This window comes from Homo sapiens, chromosome 2 (genome assembly GCF_000001405.40).
Source record: "Homo sapiens chromosome 2, GRCh38.p14 Primary Assembly".
Lineage (NCBI taxonomy): Eukaryota > Metazoa > Chordata > Mammalia > Primates > Hominidae > Homo > Homo sapiens.
In genome coordinates this window covers 36,367,330-36,388,467 of record NC_000002.12, presented here as the reverse complement: position 1 = coordinate 36,388,467, position 21,138 = coordinate 36,367,330, and the positions used below count along the sequence as shown (strand labels likewise).

Here is a 21,138-nt window from a genome sequence, read left to right as displayed (position 1 = left end):
TCTTTATTGAAATTGTACAATGCTAACAATTTATTGGGGACAGTGCCAGAGAATCATATGCCTATGGCAGTCATAATTTAAATTTAAAATAATGTTCCATTATCAGACCAATTAGACTTTGTTTTGAAAACAAAGTCACTATGTAGAGTAAGGCAAGCCAAAGGTCTTTTAATGTAATAAATATCACTTTCCAGGACCTTTCCAGTATCTCCATTCTTAGAGGATTTACTAGCTGAGGTCTCAGTAAATCTCGTTTAATAAAACAGGATTGGCTATGAACTGACAACTGCTGAAGCACTCTGTCATTACACAACTGTCTCTACTTCTGTATATATTTGGAAGTTTCTATAATAAAAAGATTTTTTAATGTGAGGGGTTTATAGGGAACTTACCAAATACTTAAAAATGAAGAACAGTGGAAGTACCATATGTCAACATTGATGGGGACACAGTTAAGACAGTGTTTAAAGGGAAATTTCACAGGGCATAAGACAAGCTGAAAAAAAAAAAAAGAATGAACTAAGCATCCAACTTGAAAAAAGAGCAACAGAGTAAGTCCAAAGAATCAAGGAGGATGGAAATAATAAATCTATGGAGAAAGTAAAAGCAACAAAAACAGTTAACAAAATTAAAAAACTGGTTCTTGAGAAAGATTATTAAGACATCTTATAAATGGCTTTTAATGAGTAGTCTCACACAGCATGTTAACTCATCCAGATACTCTGATGTCTATTTTTTCAATCACTTTCTCTTTTGAGGTTTTACCAGGAAGTTACTCAAAGTTAGACACTGAATGGCTCCATTTCCGAAATTTTTTAAATCACCAAGGTAGGTATTTAATGCCCATTTACATGTTTTCCTAGCTGCACTTTGTGGCACAGACCTTAACTCTCTTATATTCCCTCTGCTTTGAGAGTAAAATCCAATAGTTTCCAAGGAAAATCTCAGGTCTTCTCCCCTGTTCCATGTTTGTGCTGTGCTAGATCAGCCTTCTATTCAGACACATGCCATGATTAAGCAACGCAGCTGTCTCTGAACTTGAATGTCCAGTAAAAAATGTAACTGCATGTTTATCCAGCTTCAAAGGATATCAATTTTCAGTTATCAAACATACTCTTACTTAAAAATTAATAAATCTTGGTTGAGGAAAAAAGTATTTTGGAGAAATGTCTAATTATTTCCTATTTGATCTCTTCATCAGGATACTCTAAAAAGACATCCTTGGATTAAGCCAGGTCATTAGCTGTCTCTTACATACCTGGTTCACAGTGTTTTATCCTCCTACAGAGGTGCTTTAATGTAAGTAACACCCAGCAAGGAGTGTTAAGAGAACAGCCTAACCAAACTTCTTAAGGATATGGAGTTGCAAAGCAATGGTCTACAAAATGAAGTCCAACATGCAGTCATTTGAGTACCCGGCATGGAATAACACAAAGCCAGTTTAGACTTGATCCCAGCAAACTTCTTCAACCTCATCTCTGCCATGCCTTCCTCTTCCTCCAGTAAGACTTAGTGACTATGAATTGCCTGAATGTCCCATGTTGTTTCATGACATTCATGGCTGTTCTCTCTGCCTAGAAAGCTACTTCTCTTCATCTGCACTGGAAACTTCTCCTCAGTGGTTAATACTTCCTTTAGGTTTCCCCACTCTATAGGGACTGAATTAAGTACTATTTCCAGTGTAGGACTTCTACTGCATATCTATTAAAATTACTTCACTTACAGCAGCACAATGAAATTGTTCATCTAATCTCCTTTACCCGAAGTGGGTTCTTTGAAACTAACGATCTACTTTTTACTCTTCATCACTGAACTATCATAGGGCTTAGCAAATAGTAGCTTAGCAAAATAAATACCTGCAGAAGGAATAAATAGGGATAGAGAGGACGAGCACATGAATTTAATCAAAGCAATGTGAATCTTTGAGCAGCAAACTTTTTCTGGAAAGTAAGTTTGTTGGTAGAGGAAGAAAGTCAATTATTTAGAAATAACAGAGAAACATCTTTGGATCTCAGTCTTCCTACTTGTGAAATATTAATATTAGCGCAAGTTTTATTTTAACCTCAATACTGTATCAAGCAACACTTCCACAAATCAATATTTATGACATGTCAAAAGAGTGAATGAATATAATATGCCTCAACCATGTTAGATAAATAAATAATAACTTAAATAATAAACTTTTAATCTCCCTTCCTGCCACTTCTGTGTATTATGACAATAATTAGATAATGTGACACACGTTAATGCTTCTTGCCAGAATGTGACTTGAGGACATGAATAATGCACAGTACCATTTTATAAATATTAATGGATGCTCTAACCTAAAATCTGTTAGTCAAATCACCAAGAGTAAACCAGAAGACTAGGTATGGGAATTGCACACATCCAAAAGTGTGAACCACTAGAGTGAAAAGAAATGTGACTAGACCTTCTAACAATTAAATACACATGGTGCTCTGAAAATAAGCACTGTGAAGGATATACATTTTTCATTATACTAGGTGAAGAGGTAGCACAGATAATAAAGCACATTTCACCCCCTGAGACTAATCTTCTGATAACAGCTAACACTCACTGAGCACTTTCTATGTGCCAGACACTGGAATAAGCACTCTCCATGGATTCATCAGTTTTACTGAGGAGGGAAGCTGAGCAACCTAGGTCTAAATCCCATATAGGCTGTCACCCAGCAGGGGACATGAGGAGCTGAAGAAACAGGAAAGTGAGGTAGTCAAAGGCTGGGCAAAATTTCAAGTTAATGTCAATCCGGAAGACCTGAGCATCAGGGAAAAGAAGGACAGGAACACCACTAATTCTCCCATCTCACTCTGGTGAGGTCCGTCTCCAGTAATACGGCCTGGAGACTCCTGCTGATGGTCCTTTAACCACCAGGACAAGCAGAGGCCCCTCTATGACACCTTGCAGCCAAGGAACAGAGCTGCAGAGCCATCAGAACTGAAAACCCACCAATATAAACATGATCTCAACTAATCTATCATCGAGGAAAACGAGAGGTTCTTTGCTAAGACCTTCATATACAGCAATACTCCTGAAAAGCAAATAATAGTTTTTAAAAGGTGTAATGATCTGGAAGTTGCAATAAGGAATCTTTTCAGGATAACAACTTTGTGAAATCAGCTAGCAATCATTTTTGCAAGGAATGCTTTTACAAATCAACTTCAGCACTCCTATGCACTTTACCTTAATAATTTATCTGAAGTCTTCAAAATAAACCAAGTGGAAGATAAATGAAAGAGTGACATAAATTCCAACGATTATACTACTGATCCTTGCCATTAACTCTAATACTGGTCTACAAAGAAATATCTTCCCTAAATATCTTGCCTAAAAACCCAAACCTTTGATTTTTTTTTTTTTTTCAGTGAAGCAAGATTGTGTTTGGTCTTATTTATTCCTACTACACACTCCAAGAATCTGGTCCTAGCAACAAAACAAAATTTGCCACCAATATTCAATAAACAGTGCTTCATATGTACGGCATACCATTTCCTAGTTGCCCAGTTTCATCTTAAGTGGAAGTCTGGCATGTATGTCAAAACCTTTTTTCTTAAAACATCATTAAGATCCACATGGTTAGTGTATGTTTAGGTGGACAGTAGTGCTATAAACTGGAAATGAGAATCACAGAGACAACTGTGGCCCATTAAGAAATCTCGCAACACAGGGCCTGATCCACTGATTTTAAAGGCATCAAGCCCTTGAAATTCATTTTAAAACTCTCCAGAAAGAAGCAAATATAAATTAGGGGACAATGGAAAGCAGGACTCTTGCCTTAGGCCATGTCAAGAAATGCATATGAATACCTTGGGTGGACTATTATTTACACAGCAGTGATCTGATCCCTAACATTCATGGGAAATAAACCAGACAACAAGAACATAGAAAGATTAAAAAGTCTTAAGAACATGTTTGAAAAACATATTTACACGTTTTTCACAAAACTGAGTTTCCTTTGTGTAGTATCTTACCTCTATACCTAACAGACACTCAGCTCCAACTCACTGGGTCCTCACTTTGGGGGTCCCAGAGATGACAGCACAAGCCGTATCTATAAATCTATGATGGCACTCTCCTGACCACAGGGTCAAGTCTGACCCCTCACACTGATAAATGAGGCCTGTGCCTAGCCCTAGCTGACCGTCCAGTTACCTCCCACTGTGCAGACAGCTGCTCTTCCCTTCCCCGGCTACTGCAGCCTCAAGGCTTTGGCACTTGTGTTCCCTCTGTCTGGAACATCCTACTCCAGGTGTGTGCATGGTTCACTCCAGCACACCTTCAGGTCTTCAATCAACCTCAACTTCTGGCAAGACTTTGGCAGACCATTAAAACTGCAAACCAGATACCACTGTGGTTGTCTCTGTCCCCTTTCTCAGCTTTATTTTTCTCCGTAGCACTTCTCTCCTCTTGTATGCTGTATGTTTTCCTTACTAATTTGGCTGATTCTGTCTATCAGAAAGCTCCAGTTGGTAAGAATTTTTGTCTCGTTCACTGCTGTATCTTCTGCACCTGGAACAGGGCTCAGCACATAGTAGGGCCTCCATAAATATTTACTCAATCAACTGATTCCCTGAGTATACTATGCATGTTCACTCCAATGGGCCTTTACGGATCCCATTTCTCTGCTTAGGAACACTTTTTTTTCCTCCGGTCTACCTAGAAAGCTGCTACTACCATAGTGTGCCCAGCTTAAGTATCTTTTCTTCAAAGAAGTCTGATTTTCAATTTTCTTCCACCCATCCCTCTCTCTTTCCAGCACACCCGCCCCCAGCACTTCCCTTATCCTAAGGCATTGCTGAGCTTCTTGAGAGCAGAAACTGCTTCCCTCATTTCTATACTCACTCTGTGCTGAACACACAGCAGGCCCCAATATCCACTTGCTGAAGTAAATAAATGAGTAAGTGACTGCTCTACGACATAACTAGTATTATACTCTACTAACAATACTGCATGGAAAAAAAGAAGCAGCTTTAAAAATGTTCTGTAGGTATCAAACTTTCAGGTTTGTTTATTCACTACTTATGCATTCATATTTAAAATCTTTTGGGAATGATTGAGATGCAAAGAAATAAACTTTATAATAATTCAGGCCTTCCAAGGACTAGGAAGCAGGTAACTTTCAGATATTTTAAAACATAGCAGTCAAGGAAAAATTTTTTATAGATTTTTACATTTCAAATTAGAACACATGTAGGCATAAACATACACATGTAGAAAATAATTTGCTTCCAAAAGAAAATGTAAATATAACAGGTATGCATCACTCAGTCCTTTTTCCACATGCTACAGAAATATGTATTCCCACATGCAGTTAAGTAGATAAATTTTTCAAGATCATAATTCTGTCATATTATTCTATTTAAAGTTGGTATTTAGAGTGGAAAAGAAGTCTCAAAAACACTATCCAAATGACAAAGCTCACAATTTGTGGAAATACCTCTAATTACTATTTTATTAGGTTCAATACACCTTTCAAGAACTAACAGCTTTCAGGATATAAAAGGAAATACCAAATGCAGACAACTCCCAAAGGATGCTCTGATCAAATCCATATCCTATGTAATGAACAATAATGATCACCAAGTTTCAAAGGATTAGAATATACAGAGATGCACAGCTTTTAACTTATGTGTATGTGCTTGTTCTCTCCATTGTTCATTCCATTGCTTTGAACTTCCAATTTATGGAAGACTGGTAAGTTCTCAAGGCAGACCAGAAGATGCACCCCTTGAGCCAGGAGACACAGGCCAACTCAGCTGCAGCACTGCCTGGAGCATCACACTGGACCTCACCTGGTGTCTTATCAATCGGGTGGAGGAAAGGGATGCTGCACACCTGGGCTGGCAGGCCCAATAAATTAGTGCCATAACCACGACATTTCTATTTAGCACCAGGACCACTATTCCTAGGACTTCATATAATGTCTTGTGAGAAGAGAGGAAAGGACATTATTAGCACCCTTGCTTCAGACAGGATGTGTGGCATGGCCACGGAGCACTAATTATCATTCAAGACTACCCTGGGCACAGAAGTTAATTTACTCAGCACAGAGAGATTCCAGCTGCACAGGAAACACAAGCCCTTCAGGTATGGCAGCAGTTAGGATCGCTTTCCACTTAAAACAGGTGTTTCAGAAACAGACTCTGCCTATAGTTTCTATTCCTTTCCCAAGAGCATGGAATTTAATTTTAAACATCCCCAGTGAAAAGCTGGCTTGCCAACACGCGCAGTTTGGAAACAGCATGATCTGCTAGTGGTTCCACAGGGGTTTACTGAGGCGGTTCCAGGCCCTGGTTCTGCATCCTGATTCTGCCAAAGGCTTTAATTAGGAGGAAGTTGAGGATACAAGGTTCCCTAATCCCGGAGAGGAGCAAAGAGCTGCTGGGCATATCATCACCCTGAGGCACGTCCTCAGGTTTTTCTGGAAACCTCTTTGAGGGAGGTAACAGACCCAAGTGTGGTCCAGGTGGGTCCACCAATGAAAGAAAACAGAAAGGGACAGGTGAGTAACAGTTGGCCTCACACTTGCATGTGCACCCACCCCTTTCACTAACCCCAGTGACCCTATCTTTGCCAAGGCTGAGCATGTTAAAAAGCACTGGGGTATCCAAATGGGGTGTGCTTTACTCTAAAATAAAAATGGCATGGAAGGTTTTTTTTGAGACGAAGTCTCACTCTATCATACAGGCTGGAGTACAGTAGCGTAATCTCGGCTCACTGCAACCTCTGCCTCCCCGGTTCAGGCAATTCTCCTGCCTCAGCCTCCTGAGTAGCTGGGATTACAGGCACGAGCCACTGCACCTGGCTGGAAGTTTCTTTAGGAGGGTCTTTTCCGCTTTCTAATATACTTGGTTTCTAAAGTGAGAAGTGTGTCTAGTCCACACAGTCACTGGACATTCCTTTTCTCATCCATCACCTTTGTCCTCTCCTACTACAATTGCTTCTGCATTCTGGCCTGCTCCTCCTCCTTCCCCTCACATCCTTTCCTCCTCACCCCAACTGCTCTGGCAGTTCACCTTCCTGAGCCTGGCTCTGCCAGAGGCCCCGGGGCCACAGGCCTGGTCTGAGGAAACCTGCCGGCTCCCTGCCCTGCCAGCCCCGCCCCCAGTGTGGGAGTCTAGCGGGAGCTGCCTGTGGGGCCGCGCTGGGCAGCATTTCCTTTCCCTCCATCCCACCTCAAGGCCATGGGGCACTCCTTCCCCCTCCCCCGAGTCCTTCCTGTTTCCCAGGCCAGGTCCATCCAGGACACTCAACTGCCAGGGGTCAGAGTGCCACATTCCAGAGGCTTCACACCACCACTGGGAGGGCTCTAGATTCCTGTGTGGGGGGTAGGGGCGGGGGCAAGAAGGCGGGCAGGGAGGCTGGCAGGGAAAAGTTCAGCAGAGGCTGATCCAGCCCACTGTGTTCTGTATTCTGGGACAAAGTCATGGGGCAGGGAGAGCAGCGGGGGGGCCCCAGGAGTTCTCTCCAGAGTGGGCAAGAGAAAGCTCCTCGACCCCTTTGGGTGAGGCAGGAAAAAGAGGCCATAACTGCAGACATGGTCGAGATATCTTTTAAAATAAGAGAACATGACAAACTTTTATGGGTCTCACTTCCTTAATCTGTAAAGTTGGGCGGGCCTAAAGGTGCTTTTCTGAAGAAACTTCCAATGCCACAATTCTGATTCCTGGTGTGGCAACAGTCCTCTGACCTCACTGATTTTCAAAGTCTGATGATTTTTTGGCTAACGAACAGAAATACCACTTTCATTCGGAGGGCAAACAAAACTTCAACCTCCCAAAGCAAAATCTTCCCCTTGCAATACTGGATTTCTTTGCTTTGCAGACTCAATGTCTCCCAAACTTTCTTTATGTCCTTCTTTTGATTTCTTTGTTCTGCAGGTTTTAACTCTGTAGACTCTGCGCTCAAACCCACAGGATCTGGCCTCTCAAGGGCTTCCAACTCCTCCTGCTTGCAGGCCCCCAAGGCTTATGAAATTAAGCTCCAGGATGTGCATCCTATCAAGGTCACCCTCTGGAGCTTAGGGCTGCAGCATGATGGGACTGGACAACTGTGGCCCCATCCAGACCCAAGAGGAGCAGCGCAGAGTACCATGACATAGTGGGCAGTGCTGAATCCCTCTGACACAAGAGTACCACTCCACTGGAACTCAAAAAAGGGAAGCCGGCAAAGAATAAGGAGCTTGAGCTCAAACTGTGTAGCATCAACAGGTGAACAGGCAGACTTCAGCCTGGTCTTGTGGAGAAGGATGCAGAGCTGGCCTGGCACTCTGAGGACAGGAGTACCTGACTGATAAACGCAGACTCTTGCAGGGAAGGAAACAGAACACAGTGCTGGGGAGATTGGGGAGAAGGAATAAGTGAAGAGGAGCCCATTTAGGGCTGCCATTCATGCATCAGAGTCATAAGAAGCATATGCAGTTAGGCTCTGCCTCTGTAAGACAGTCCATGGAGAAAATATCCCTGAGTGGTCAAAGTCTATCAACTGTACTTCAACTAAATGTCTACATTCCTCCCATAAACATACCTTTTTTTTTTTTTTTTAACCAAACCATTGCTTTTAATAAATCCTTATGAGTAAAGTTTGACCACAAAGTCAGTCTGTGGGTAAGATGATTAATATGATCCTACAAAAACATACCCTGATATAGATTCATCTCATTCTAAGCAATTGCTTTTCTTTAAAAAAAAAAAAAAAAAAAAAAGAGAGAAAGAAAGAAATAGAATCCCTGACCAATTATGACCTCCTTCCTCTCAAGCAAGGATTCAACACAGAACACTCATTTACTAAGACCCAACACTAGTGAGAGGATATGTTTTCCGGAATTAACTAGAGTTTGGACCCCAAGTACATATTACCCTTCATTAAAAACCAGTTCAGTGCTCTGTTCGGAAGACTGCACATTACCTCTGCACGCTGCTCTTCTCATACTTTGGGAAGGCCGCACTGTTGTCAGGGCTGAAATAAAAGTGCCTGATTTTTGTACCCCAGCAGAGTGTGGAACTACAGCAGAAGCAAATCAGATGGCTCATAAATCAGATGTCCTGTGACAACTCTTCCTTTTATGAAGATCAGATTTTAAATGGACCACTTCAGTTTGGGTGAGAGAAACATGAGAAAGAAGGAAAGCATTTGTACATTCTTCTAGTCTTTTAATAAAACAATGAATCCTTCAAACCACCTGCATAATTTTGCCACACAAGAACCACAGTGTACTCATTTGCACTGATAAATTTATTTCATTTTAAGTTGACTACAAGGCAAGGATTTCATAGTTACAAAAAAAAATCTGGAACACAGAGACCTAAAAAAAGGAAAGACAAGTTATTAAAATTTGTACAATGGACAACAGAAATATTTCTTTAAAACAAGACAAGCTGTTTCATTTGAATGAGTATGTGTGTATGTTAGCTGAAAGCTCTAAATTTCTCCATAAAAAGGATTTTTACTACTGTTGCTATCCTGTTACAGAATTCATTTTTAAAATCAATACATATTTTTAGAATGAGAAGAAGCACTTACAAAATGCTGATAACAGGACTGCAGGTTCATGTTCTTGTCACCTTTGTAGATATGATCACCTGCACTCCAGCCTGGGTGACAGAGTGAGACTCCGTCTCAAAAAAAAAAAAAAAAAAAACCGAAAACAACAAAAAAACTCCCATCTTCTGCAAATTTTAATCTCTAGCTTGATGTCTTTTGTTAGCCAAAAAGACATTAGACTTTGAAAATGACTGAGGTCAGAGGACTGTTGCCACACGAGGAACAATCCAACCTCTGGATCAAAATCTTTTACCTTTAGGACAGCAGTCCCCACCAAGAGAACACAAGGACGTATACCCTTTAGTCTCTGTCATATGAAATGGCATCAGCATAAACTTTCAAATTAACTTCCTTAAGTTTAAAAAAAAAATGACTTACCGCCTTACGTTAGAGCTGTGAGCTTCATCCAGAGTATGGCCCAGGCACCTCAGAATGAATGGTGGCACTCCTTTCCCTACTGTTGCATCTGGACCATTTGGGGGACCATTTGTTCCTCTTTGAGATGAGCAGTAATGCTGAGAGCAGCCTCAAATTCAATACCCCGCAGCTAGAGAGAAACATGTTAGGTGGCGCCTGCCTAGGAGGACAATCATGAACAAAACTTCCTCACAAGCATCTTCAATGTGATGTAATGTGAAGAAAAATATCCCATCAATTACTCATTGATTTAAAATACATTTACTGAACACCTGCGACTTACACAGTGCTGTGCTACACAGAAGCCCAGTAGGCTATTCAATTACAGAGCATCTATCTACCCATCTATCGCCTTAAAAGCAAACATACGTTACAATGCAGAGTAAGCCCCTAAGTTTAGAAAGGGTAAAGTCTCGTTAATATCTCCACTGCACATGTTGGAGTCTGAAATATCCCAATAATGCTTATTGAAAACAAATCACCTGATGGCTTTGTCCTTTCAAAATTACCTTGGGAGTCAGTAAATTTTACTGAAACACCTGACAGACTGAGTTTGTTAGGTATGATTAACAAATCATAGGCACCCAGTTATCAACATAGAGTTTGGAACATTCTACTCCCCTGCCAGCAGCCAGGGAGTAAATGTCTTCAGGCCTATGATGCCTTATTTCAACCAAATATAACTCTTATTTTATGATAAGAGAGAAGGAAATCACTTTCCCACCTTCTGAATATTACATTTACTCAACAAAGCATGAATGAGTATGTGCTATGTATAAACCATAGTTTCAGATGTTGAGGTACAAAGATACAATGACAATGTACATTTACTGTGTGCTTACTGTATACAAGCCACTATTCAAGTGCTTTACATGAATGAGTTAACTTAAGTATTCCTTATAACCACCCAAAAGAAATGGATACTATTGTTATTCCCATTTTACAGAGGGAAATCATGAACAGAGGTTGGGGAGCTTTGGCCAGGGTAACACACCATGCCAGGTCGCCAGGCTGGACTATGCACTGGCTTCTGAGCCTGAACTCCCACTAGTGCACGATTTTGTTTCTCATTAATAAAACATGATTTCTCCCTATGGAATTTATCATCTAAATTTCTCCAGAGGAAGTCATTTCTACTGGGCAGGTTTTCTTGAGACTGTATCCCTAACACTCCTTGGCAAGTGGATGCAATGTGTGCTAGTCATACAGGTGGGTAAAATGCCCCAAGACTGGGGTGACTAATCCTCCAAGGAGGAAGCAACAGGGCCAAGAGGGCAGAGCCAGCACTGGAGTGAGACCAGCGCCACCAGTGAGCTGTCATCAGCTGGCTGGACAGCGCCCCTGAGCTCTGAACAGCAGAAAACACCTGTGTGCAGGGCTGGGGGTTGACCAAGGGCAGCTGTTGGATGTGGGCCTTCCGGAACCCACATGGGGGGAGGCAAGGGAAAGGGATTCAGACCCTGAAAGGGGAAATCAGTGACCAACCCATGAAGAGACAAAAGACAGAGCTCAGGAACTGCTGCTCTGTCTCTCTACATTAGAGAGAGTGATACACAGACACATGGGGGTCACAAACTCCAAAATCCCACAACTCCATCCCCCAAATGCTATAAGCTTGCAGTATTTACATACCTGTCTTTTCCCAAGAAGCTTGGTGTTCATTATTTTTAAAAACCCTCACAGCAGGTCAGGAAGTCAGGCATTTGAATACAAATACCAAAAGAAAGGGAAAAGAAATGCTGTGGTTGGTGCAGCAAAGAATTCTGAGATGCCCACTAAAGGAGATCCAGACAATGAGCATCACCCCTTGGAAGCACCAACTCCAGAGGTAAAAGCGTGAAGCAGCTATAATCAAATCCATCCATAAACAAATCCAGCCAGCATTTACCCCTGGCAAGAACCTCCAAGTCTACGACCTCCCTCAAACTATGTTTACACCTTCTCCCACATTCTCGTATCCCCACAGCCAGAAATAAACCCAGGGCTCTCAAAACTGAGCCTCTCCTCCTCCCGCTCATGCGAGTTGGCCCAGCTCCAAGGCTCTGTAAGCAAGGAAATGCAGTCCAGGGACACTGTATGAACGCTCGCCTACTGTTTAAACATTCTCCTCAACCTGCAGCTTACACAGGTCACGGAGGCTTCACTATCTACTGTAGAGCAAGGAAGATACAAATCCATTTCACTGTAAATGAATTTAAACATTTATAATCACATTGGTTAAGAAGCTTTTGGCAATAAATAAAAACAAAAACCACTTGAAGCTTTGGTTGAAGATCAACTGATTAAAGAGGAACTATATAACACTGGAAACAATCTATTGATTCCCACCTTGAAGTTTTATAAATTGGTTCCAACAGGAGCTACAGGCCCTATGTTGGGGTTAAGCTTAGGGAAGTCCAGGCCCTCTCTCCCTTTCTAAACCTTTTTTTCTAATGGGTGTCAGCTTGCCTTACACCTCTTTATTCATCCTGGAGACACAATTTCAGCATACATATTTTGGTAGTGGTGGTTATGGTGGGTGCCAAATATTTATTATTGTAGAACATAAATGACTATTAAACTTCAAAATGTTTATTTTACATGCTTGCTGACTTTAGCTAATGTCATTATCCTATGATCCAACTAAAACTCTACAAATACACAAGGTTGAACTGTTAAATTTGCTGTGATTTCACCTTCAAATTAGTTTTTTAGTACAAAGTATGCTCCCTTAAGTCAATATGTTGGTCCAAAAAGTATTTGTGAAAGTGTAATAGTGCATATTAATCACTTAGCCACATACTGTGGCTTAGAAAGTCTAAATAGGTACTCTTTCCAACTAATAAGCAGCCAGGTTCAGGGTTTTCTGGACTATGTTGATTGGTATATATCTTACACTAATTATATCTTCAAAGATTTATAATTCAGAAACAAAAATTTAGTATTAAAGAGGTAATCAAAATGTTTGTCTTCCTTTTGCTAATCTAAAGAGCACTTAACATTTACATAAAATATATTTGAAGCCTGGTGATTTCATTTTGTATACCGTTTATGCAATTTGCTTTGCGGATTTGTATTTTTAAATAAAGATTGCAGAAATCAACCTGAAATATTACAACAGGTGCTATATACCTTCTGAATATGAAACCAGTATGAGTTGCATTATATGAGTCAATAATAATACAAGGAAAAGTCTATTTTCCTGATACAATTTCAACAAACTTAATCCTGATAATGATCCGAAGTTTTTTTTCGAATTTTGTAGGTCCCTTGCTGGATAACGTCTAGCCCTCTGGTTTTAATTTATAAGATGGTGGAAGTGGAAAACTGCTTTACATCCTTGGAAACAACAGCATATGGCATATGCAAAGCATACGGCATATGCAAAGCATACAAGTTGCAAATTCATTTTGAAGTTAATATCTAGTACCCATTTAGAACTTAATTATATCCATTTTTCATACTAAGTAAACATCTGCAATATAATAATATGCTACAAAAAAAAAAAGCAACAGAATTAAAATGTCTCTACCTGGAGAGCTGGCTATTTGCACAAAACCTACAAATCGTTAGTTAACTTTACAAAGCTTCCATACTCTTAGAGTCAATACAGTTCTGGTGATACTAAGCACATCAAAAAAAAAAACATCAAGAGCCACAGCCCTCATGCCATGAGCCTAGGGATCAGATGCACAGGTAGTGAGTGGTCAGATGCTTAGTAAGAAGAGATGACACAATCACAGCTATCTGTTTGGAGCACGCCCAGGCACTCAGGAAAATAAATTCCATTACGACTACATAGGATTTTCTCTTAAATAGAATTTTTTTTCCTTTCTTGCTTTTTAAGTAGTATGGAAAAGAAAGGGGGAAAGGAAATGAGGAGTAACACTGCAGTCAGTACAACCCAATTGCTTGACAAATCATAATAATGAAGACAAGGTAGCAACATAGGACAATGTATTTGATATAATGTTAGATGGGGATAAAAAACATACACGATGGGTGTGGGGGGAAGGATGTCTACAGAGTAAGACTAGGCAGGGTTATACACAAAAACATGAAGCTAGTTTTTGTGTTTGGAACAAGAGCATTTTAGATAATTGTTTCTTCTATTTCCCAAACTGTCTAGTAAAGTTATCCCTTTACAGTAGCATTCTTTAAAAGATGGCAGTGGGCCCAACATTTGGCTCCAGCACACACAGCTAGTGATGGGGAATACATTGAAGAAATAAAACTACAAAGAGGGAATTTAGATAACACCTTTTTCTGAGTGACCCCTTTAATAAGGGGCTTCGGTCTCCTTTCACGAGGCAAGGCCTCTTCCCTCATGCAACTAAGGTCCAAGAATCTTTGGGCATGAAAACTTCTAAGGAATATCTGCATCAATCCTTTTTGAGTCTACCTTTCTTGACACATAGTATGGGTAGGACATCAGCAACTATAAACCTGGTAGGTGCCTTAGGAACTGCCGAAGAGGAGACACAGGAAAAGACGCCCACGGCTTTATGTAAGCCACTTAGGAGACAGACTACATGTATCTAATCTATGTAAATTAACGAATGATGGCCAGAGGCAGATTTTTTTTTGTTCTGTTGGAATTAACAGAACCTAACAGCTTCAGTTTGAAAAACATACTCCTATTACAGAAGAATGGACATAACAGACTACCAGGACACGCACATGACCCTGTGAGCAATTTTTGCATGGGTGTATGTTGTACACATGGATGCACATGCACACATCACATAATCTCCAACGTGTGCATAGCTGTCCACTGTAATGACATTTTCTCACTGTGACAAAAGACTGACAGAGAATGCCTGCATTTCCACACATACAGGTTCAGGGATACCTTCCCACGGCCATTCTGCTGGTCCACCGGCTCCGCAAATGATGACTTCATTTCTACCTCTCAAAATGCCCCATCGGTTTGCTTTCTCTATCACAAACAAATGTGACCTTTTCTCCCCAAGTGCCATCTTTGGGTACAGCTGTAGGAACGATAGGCCAGTCAAAGGCTGGTTCAAGCAACTGATTTCCCCAAATAGCTCTGAGAGGTTCTTGTCAGGACTCAGGTTAAGCCAGCTGTCTGTATCACTGAAAATGGTACTTGCTGGTTGCACTTCACACCCACTTCTCTGGTTCTCTCCTTCCAGGAAGTCTATTTTTCAGTTACAAGAACTGTTTACTTTGGCTTACAGGCTGATGGGCACTCCCTCCTTCAAGAGTGTTTCCCAATCCTCTGCCTCCATTCATTTACTCTACTAATGTCTGAGGAAAAGTGTGCTATTCCATCAGCAAGAACAGTTCTGGGTCCTTTACCCACACCCTCGATTTAACTGTGGGATCATGAGTTTTGAGAAACACACACACTTCTCATTTTGGCAGCATTTGCCATCAGCTCAAATACTCCTTCTGCTGATAAAGTCTTAGAGAAGGCAACACTGAAAAGAAAACATACCTGCCTAGGAAGTCTGGGAACAGATTTTTAAGCTTTTTTTATATGAAGCCATATAAAAGTTTTAAAAATATTTTTAACGAGTTATAGGAAAATCATCAGTGGACCCTCAAAAAATAACCTTGCTTAAATCTTCACTGTTCATTGCCACTGTTCATTATGGACAACCAGAGCTCTACAGCTATAACTTTACTTAGCCATCAGTTCCAGCTTCTCTCCTTCCCTTTCCTAAAACTTTTGTAACTGGTGATGACCAATAAAAGGATCTGAAGTGGGCTACTGGGAAAGCCACCAACCATACACTAACATTATCAACAATTTCCATCAGGTATGAGATGAGCATCGTAAACTTGGGAAAGCTGAAGGGCCATGCCGCAGCAGAAAATTAAACCTGCCCTAAGAAAATGGGCACATTGACTAAAGTGATAAAATGGCACAGGTACCTGAACTTATATCCAGGAGAATTCTGCATGTGTCTTTGACTCTATATACTTTATCTTGGCCAAAACTCTCTATCTTTAGCAGCTGAAAAGCTTAGCACCAAATGTATCAAGGTTTTAATTTGCTATGTATCCTTAAGTTTCTAATGTCTTATTCCATCTTAATTTGTAAACCTCCTTAAAACCTTTAGAAAAACAAACAAAGAACTTATAACTAGTGCTACAGAAAAAACAATTCCACACTGAATGTGGAATTACTAAATAACAAGTTGGGGCTCCAGCCACTAATCATCAAAAATTCCTGTCTCTGAAGTCATAGGGTTTGGAGTAAATCCAAACGGAATTTTGCTTTCCTAAATGCCTTAAAGTGCATTCCTATGGAATTCCTGCTCGAACCATTGTGAGGCATTTTAATTATTCCCAGTCACACACTTCCACCCTCAGGTTGTTGGCTTAGGATTTCCTTCCCCAAAGAAGCTGTACAGTTAAAAATTCCTTAGGATATCTGGAGATCACCTGAAGCAGTAAACAGGTTGCACCACACTGCACTTGGCACTCACATATTGAACATTCAGTACATGTTTCTTAAACTAAACACCCTCCTGATTAATCAACATAAATGTTTGTTAAGACACAATCCTGGATTAGCTGAGAATTCAGAAGTCTATTTTGCTATCACCAAGTCATGATGATATGGTCATCTGAAGTGTGTTGATAATTTATAACCGATTTATCAGTTATTGTTTACAAGCAGCTGATCACCACAGTATCTCAACCGTTTAGTATATCAGATCCCTGGCAGTCAAGAGAAGGTTACAAGCAACCACCCACGAGGAAAATTCCTATAAGCTGATAAGGGGTTAGTGAATGAAAGATGACACCTTTATGACAAACTGACAAGAAGAAAAGTCCACACAAATAAAAATTATCTTTAAATATTTGCCAAAAAAATACAGCTGAAACTAATTCATCATGGAAACATTACAAAAAATTCTAAGACTGATCGGCATGAGCAAAGTTAACCAGTTTGAGCTTCCTCCTGCAATGCTATGGCTTCTCACTGGGATTCTCTTAACGGGGAGTGCCATTCGTTTCAGTTTCCACAATGCAGACCAAATGGTTCGATGAAAAAGTTTTTGTATAATATCTTGGATGACCTTGAGTCTAGATTTAGTCAACAAATGCTCATTGAGTTCTTCCTGTGTGCCAAGCGCTAGAATAACACACAATCCTGGCACTCAAATAGATCACAATGAGGCAGAGAGACAGAAATGTGAACTCTAACACAGTATGAAAAGTGCTATAACAGGGGAAGGAGAAAGTGCTATTTATGGTCACTGGGGGATGGGGGATGGGGGATGGCATTACTTTTTCCTGGGCAGGGCAGGAAGGCTTCACAAAGGAAAGAGCATAAACTGGCAGGGCTTGAGGGATGCCAACACATATTAAAGGACGTGAAGACAACTATGGGGGCGTCTGAAACCTGACACCACACCCATTTTCCAGTTGCTGGCCTTAGTTGCTGGCCAAGTCTTTGGTTGCACTAGATATTAAGAAGAATGTGTTGACCACATCTCCTAATTTTCTGAGCTCTCAAAGGGTCTTTGTCCAAGATACACTGGAAATAAAGTTGGAAAACCTAAAACTTCAGGAGCAAGATGGTCAGGTCTTTAATTTAGGGGTCTAATTTTCCCTTACCTGTGGGCTTTTAGTAATAACATGCAGACTGCTAAGGTCCTATGGGAAGTTAAATGCTTATTATACTAAGATTAGAAGTAGAGGGGGAATAACTATGCATATGAAATATGTCCCCTCTAAAGAAAAAAAGTTCACTGTTCCTTCTTAACTAGTGGTCATCCTTTATCCCTTCTCTCTCTTTTTAGCTCCTAATACCATCTACTTTTCCATTCTCTCAAGAAATATTATCACTCAAGCATTTCTGACTCAAGGGCATTCACTTACATATTCACACACAATTTTAAAAATATAATAACCTGGATTATTTTCAGTGCCAAACATAGCTGTAATTATGTATTTCTTTTGGACATGCTTTATGTTATTAAAGCATGTAAATACTTTATCTCCCTCAAGTTTTCCAGCCCTCAGTTGGCAGAAAGTCTTTTCTTTTTCCTTTCTCTTTCCAAAGCAACTAATACAATTTCCTGAATAGACAGTCAATAAACTTGGTTGCTGAGGGCTCACCTTTTCCCAGGGCAGTGTTTGAAAATAATTTCATCTACTGCCAACAAAAAACACCTCTGGCTTCTTTCATTTTACTTATTTACCTACAGAGGTCTTCCATTTCTCACTGTAAATTTCTGCTGCTTCTTTCTGCTGTCACATTTAAAGTTTCTGCGTAAGGTCAAAAACTGTTTAATGATGGCATACTATTTAAAAAAAAAAAAAAAAAGCTTTTGTCCCAATCACTAAGAAATAAGTCAGCAATATTCAGAAGCTCTACTTGCCCACTTATAGATATCCCAATTAACAGGCAGTTTAAAACCCAAAGCATCTTAATTAGAACTGTTTTTTCAAATGCAGTAAGTAAAACAATGTGCGACCTTTTATTAAGAAGTCATTTTCAGTTTGCTGATCTACAGAGTAGATACTACAGTCAACTTGCTTCAAGCTGGGGCGTTGTTTCCAGCACATCCATAATACAATGCACGGTATTCTTTGTCTGTGTTGTGCCCTCAGCAACTGAAAAAATACACATGCACGTGCACACCCTACATCCAATGGCACAAAGTTAACTACACATTCAAAGAAGGAATTAGCTTCCTGTCTCTCAAAGAGTATTCCCACTCAGGGGCCCAGTGGCTGATGCTACAGAAATAGTTCACTACCCTGAGTACATCTTTTTAGGCCAGCAAATCTACCACAATCTTGTACAGATCCTTGTTGTATAAACTTTTATCACTTTCCTCACATTTATCATCTTCTCGAATGTTCCTATATGGCAACATTTCTGACCTATATTACATATAACATTTCATATGTTCCTATATGGCAAAAAGTTCTGTAGAAATGTTTGCAGGTCAAAAGCTCCCCCTGCAAACATTTTTACAGAACTTTTTGTCGTTAATGCAGACACTGTTATTGGAAGGGATCCTCACAGAGGAATTGACTCTTGCACCACCTTCTGTCAATGGCTGGGTTGCCCAGTAGCTGGAAAGCTGTGTGCACTCATCCTTGCTGGAAAGAACATGGAGGCAAATGTTAAGACTGCTGGAAAGCATCTTTCCAATGGCTTTCAGGACACTTGAGATCCAGCAGGCACTGGGCTGTGGTAGGGATTCACCAGAGGAGGAGGGCCAAACCACAGCACACAGATGTGGGCAAGTGGGGTCTCTAACTCACCTTCTAACATAGACCCTTCACTACAGCAAACACACATGCACTCATGGGCTGCTTTGTAGAGAAATGCTGGGCCCTTGGCATGCAGATTCTCATTACTGCCGCAGAGGTTTAAAAGTTCTTAAGCTAATATGCACCAACCAACCTGGAAGAAAAGCAAATAAAGACCTATTTATACACCAGAAAAGAGTAAAGGAGACCCTAGATTGGGCAAAAGCTCAGGTTAGTAAATTAACACCACCCCATCCCAGAAATCTAGCCTGGAAGAGAGACGGTAAGATCTGGAACAGGATTTAACTTTTGATATTATCTTTTTAAAATGGAAAGAAAGAGCAAGCCATAGTACAACATAAAATGTTTATCCAGTTATTAGTAAACTTTTAACAATTTCACAGATTGGAGTGAAAAAAAATTTTCTGGAGCAAAAAGCAAAAAGTATTACAGAAAACTAAAAATTATCTAAGTTTACATACCTAGGAAATGGTGGCTTAGGTAACTGCGCTGAAAGTGAGAATCATGGAAGAGAGCTATGTAATAATTAGCCACTGAGTTTTCTCATATGACATACTCCCAAATGGAATATTTCACATTCAGCAGACTTATTAATGAATAAATGCCCAATGGGAATTAACTAGTACCTCATTCTGGAAGGCTGCTCTTGGCAAAAAATGTAATAACCACAAGGCAAACAAGCTGATTGCTAATATACACTGGAAGCCGTGCTGGGCATCATTTTCTTTCGAATAATGCCTATTACTTTAAGTTTTAGAGCCGCAGGTTCATACTACCTAACCTTGCTCAACGTCCTGCCGCTGGACAACATGCAAAGGAAGGGTGAAGTTTCTGGACAACTTTCCAAGCTTCGCAGTTGGCTTGTACTTGAAACATATTTAGTGAATATTTGCTGTCTCACATACAAGCAAAGAGCTTCCTGGTCAGTGGCTCAGCTGTACACAGAGGTGAGGGAGCTTGCGCAGTGTGCAGCATGTCCCTCTGCAGGAATCATCCTTTCATCCTCCCAACGTGAGGCACCAACATGCCACGTTTGGCCAGCGACCCCACACCCCCTTTCATGCACTATTACTGCTATGTTTCTTTAAATTCAGTCTGCTCCTTAAGGAAACTCCCTGGCAAGTGAAAACAGCAGCAAAGGTAAAAGAATGTGGAGAATTTGGCTGCTGCCTGCAGTATTAGGAAGAAGAGCAATTACTCAACTCTCTCCTAGTGTCAGAGGCAGAAATGAGCATGTGAATTTGGGCAAGTTTTGGCCTGTCTTCGCTCTAGCTTCTCCCTTTGCAGTCTCTGTCACCTACCTACCTCATAGTCTTAATAATTAATGAAGTACATAAGAAAATGGAGAAAGGGAAGGCAGCAAACACATAAGAGAGGTTTGAGTTCTACCCTGAATCCAGACTCAGCCACGGTGAATATGATTTAAAAGACTTCAGGCATTTAAAAGCTGTCACTAACTTCCCAATACTACGCTTTACTGTCTCCACTGCCGCTTGATAAACATAACCATGGAGGAACTCTTGATCTTTTCCTCTAAGCCCTTCTGTCTACAGCACCTGGCAGTCATGTAGACACTATCACTTTTTCCTTCCCTGGCTCTGCAAACACAAGGTAATATTCGACTCCTGTCTATCACTTCTAGGTCATAAAAGCATAGATCTTATGACCAGTAGAACCTTAAGATATCATCTGATTCAGTTCCCCTGTCTTGAGGTAGGTAACTATTTAATTCCCTTTTGACAAATTAAGGCAAAGTCATGCCAAGGGAAGTTGAAGGGTTTTATTTAAGTCACTGGGCTATTAAGAGATGAAGGGGGATTCAAAAGCCATGGCTGTTTTTTTCTCCTTTATCATGTTATCACATACAAGAATTCTGTAATATTCACCTTTCTGGGCAGCCTCAAACCCTTT

General features: G+C 40.5%; 1 protein-coding gene and 1 long non-coding RNA gene across 14 annotated transcripts in view, besides 5 other annotated features; both read right to left on the bottom strand.

Moving 5' to 3' along the window:
- The window catches only part of CRIM1 (cysteine rich transmembrane BMP regulator 1), a 195,358-nt gene that overhangs the window by 162,668 nt on the left and 11,552 nt on the right, over positions 1-21,138 (bottom strand). Inside the window, exon 1 of one of the 13 annotated variants that reach the window (XM_024452948.2) lies at positions 9,943-18,250. The exons of the other annotated variants lie outside the window; for them this stretch is intronic. The gene's annotated coding sequence lies outside the window, so the exon portion shown is untranslated. Of the gene's footprint in view, positions 1-9,942; positions 18,251-21,138 lie in introns of those variants that run through there. 13 annotated transcript variants of the gene reach the window in all.
- Positions 5,663-6,177: an enhancer, noted in NCBI's record as "H3K27ac-H3K4me1 hESC enhancer chr2:36609434-36609948 (GRCh37/hg19 assembly coordinates)". NCBI's record gives its function as "activates a minimal SCP1, AML or CMV promoter by ChIP-STARR-seq in primed H9 embryonic stem cells {active_cell/tissue: H9 hESC(primed)}" and the evidence as "EXISTENCE:reporter gene assay evidence [ECO:0000049][PMID:30033119]".
- Positions 7,209-7,725: an enhancer, noted in NCBI's record as "H3K27ac-H3K4me1 hESC enhancer chr2:36607886-36608402 (GRCh37/hg19 assembly coordinates)". NCBI's record gives its function as "activates a minimal SCP1, AML or CMV promoter by ChIP-STARR-seq in naive H9 embryonic stem cells {active_cell/tissue: H9 hESC(naive)}" and the evidence as "EXISTENCE:reporter gene assay evidence [ECO:0000049][PMID:30033119]".
- LOC124907753 (uncharacterized) lies at positions 9,238-18,250 on the bottom strand. Its single transcript, XR_007086281.1, has 2 exons — positions 9,544-18,250; positions 9,238-9,325 (listed from the first exon to the last, which is right to left on the bottom strand). It is a non-coding gene; the product is annotated as an uncharacterized LOC124907753 (long non-coding RNA).
- Positions 19,641-20,294: an enhancer, noted in NCBI's record as "H3K27ac hESC enhancer chr2:36595317-36595970 (GRCh37/hg19 assembly coordinates)". NCBI's record gives its function as "activates a minimal SCP1, AML or CMV promoter by ChIP-STARR-seq in naive H9 embryonic stem cells {active_cell/tissue: H9 hESC(naive)}" and the evidence as "EXISTENCE:reporter gene assay evidence [ECO:0000049][PMID:30033119]".
- Positions 19,641-20,482: a biological region, named in NCBI's record as "Sharpr-MPRA regulatory region 8328".
- Positions 20,188-20,482: a silencer, noted in NCBI's record as "tiled region #8328; K562 Repressive non-DNase unmatched - State 24:Quies". NCBI's record gives its function as "represses a minimal TATA promoter and a strong SV40 promoter by Sharpr-MPRA in K562 cells {active_cell/tissue: K562}" and the evidence as "EXISTENCE:reporter gene assay evidence [ECO:0000049][PMID:27701403]".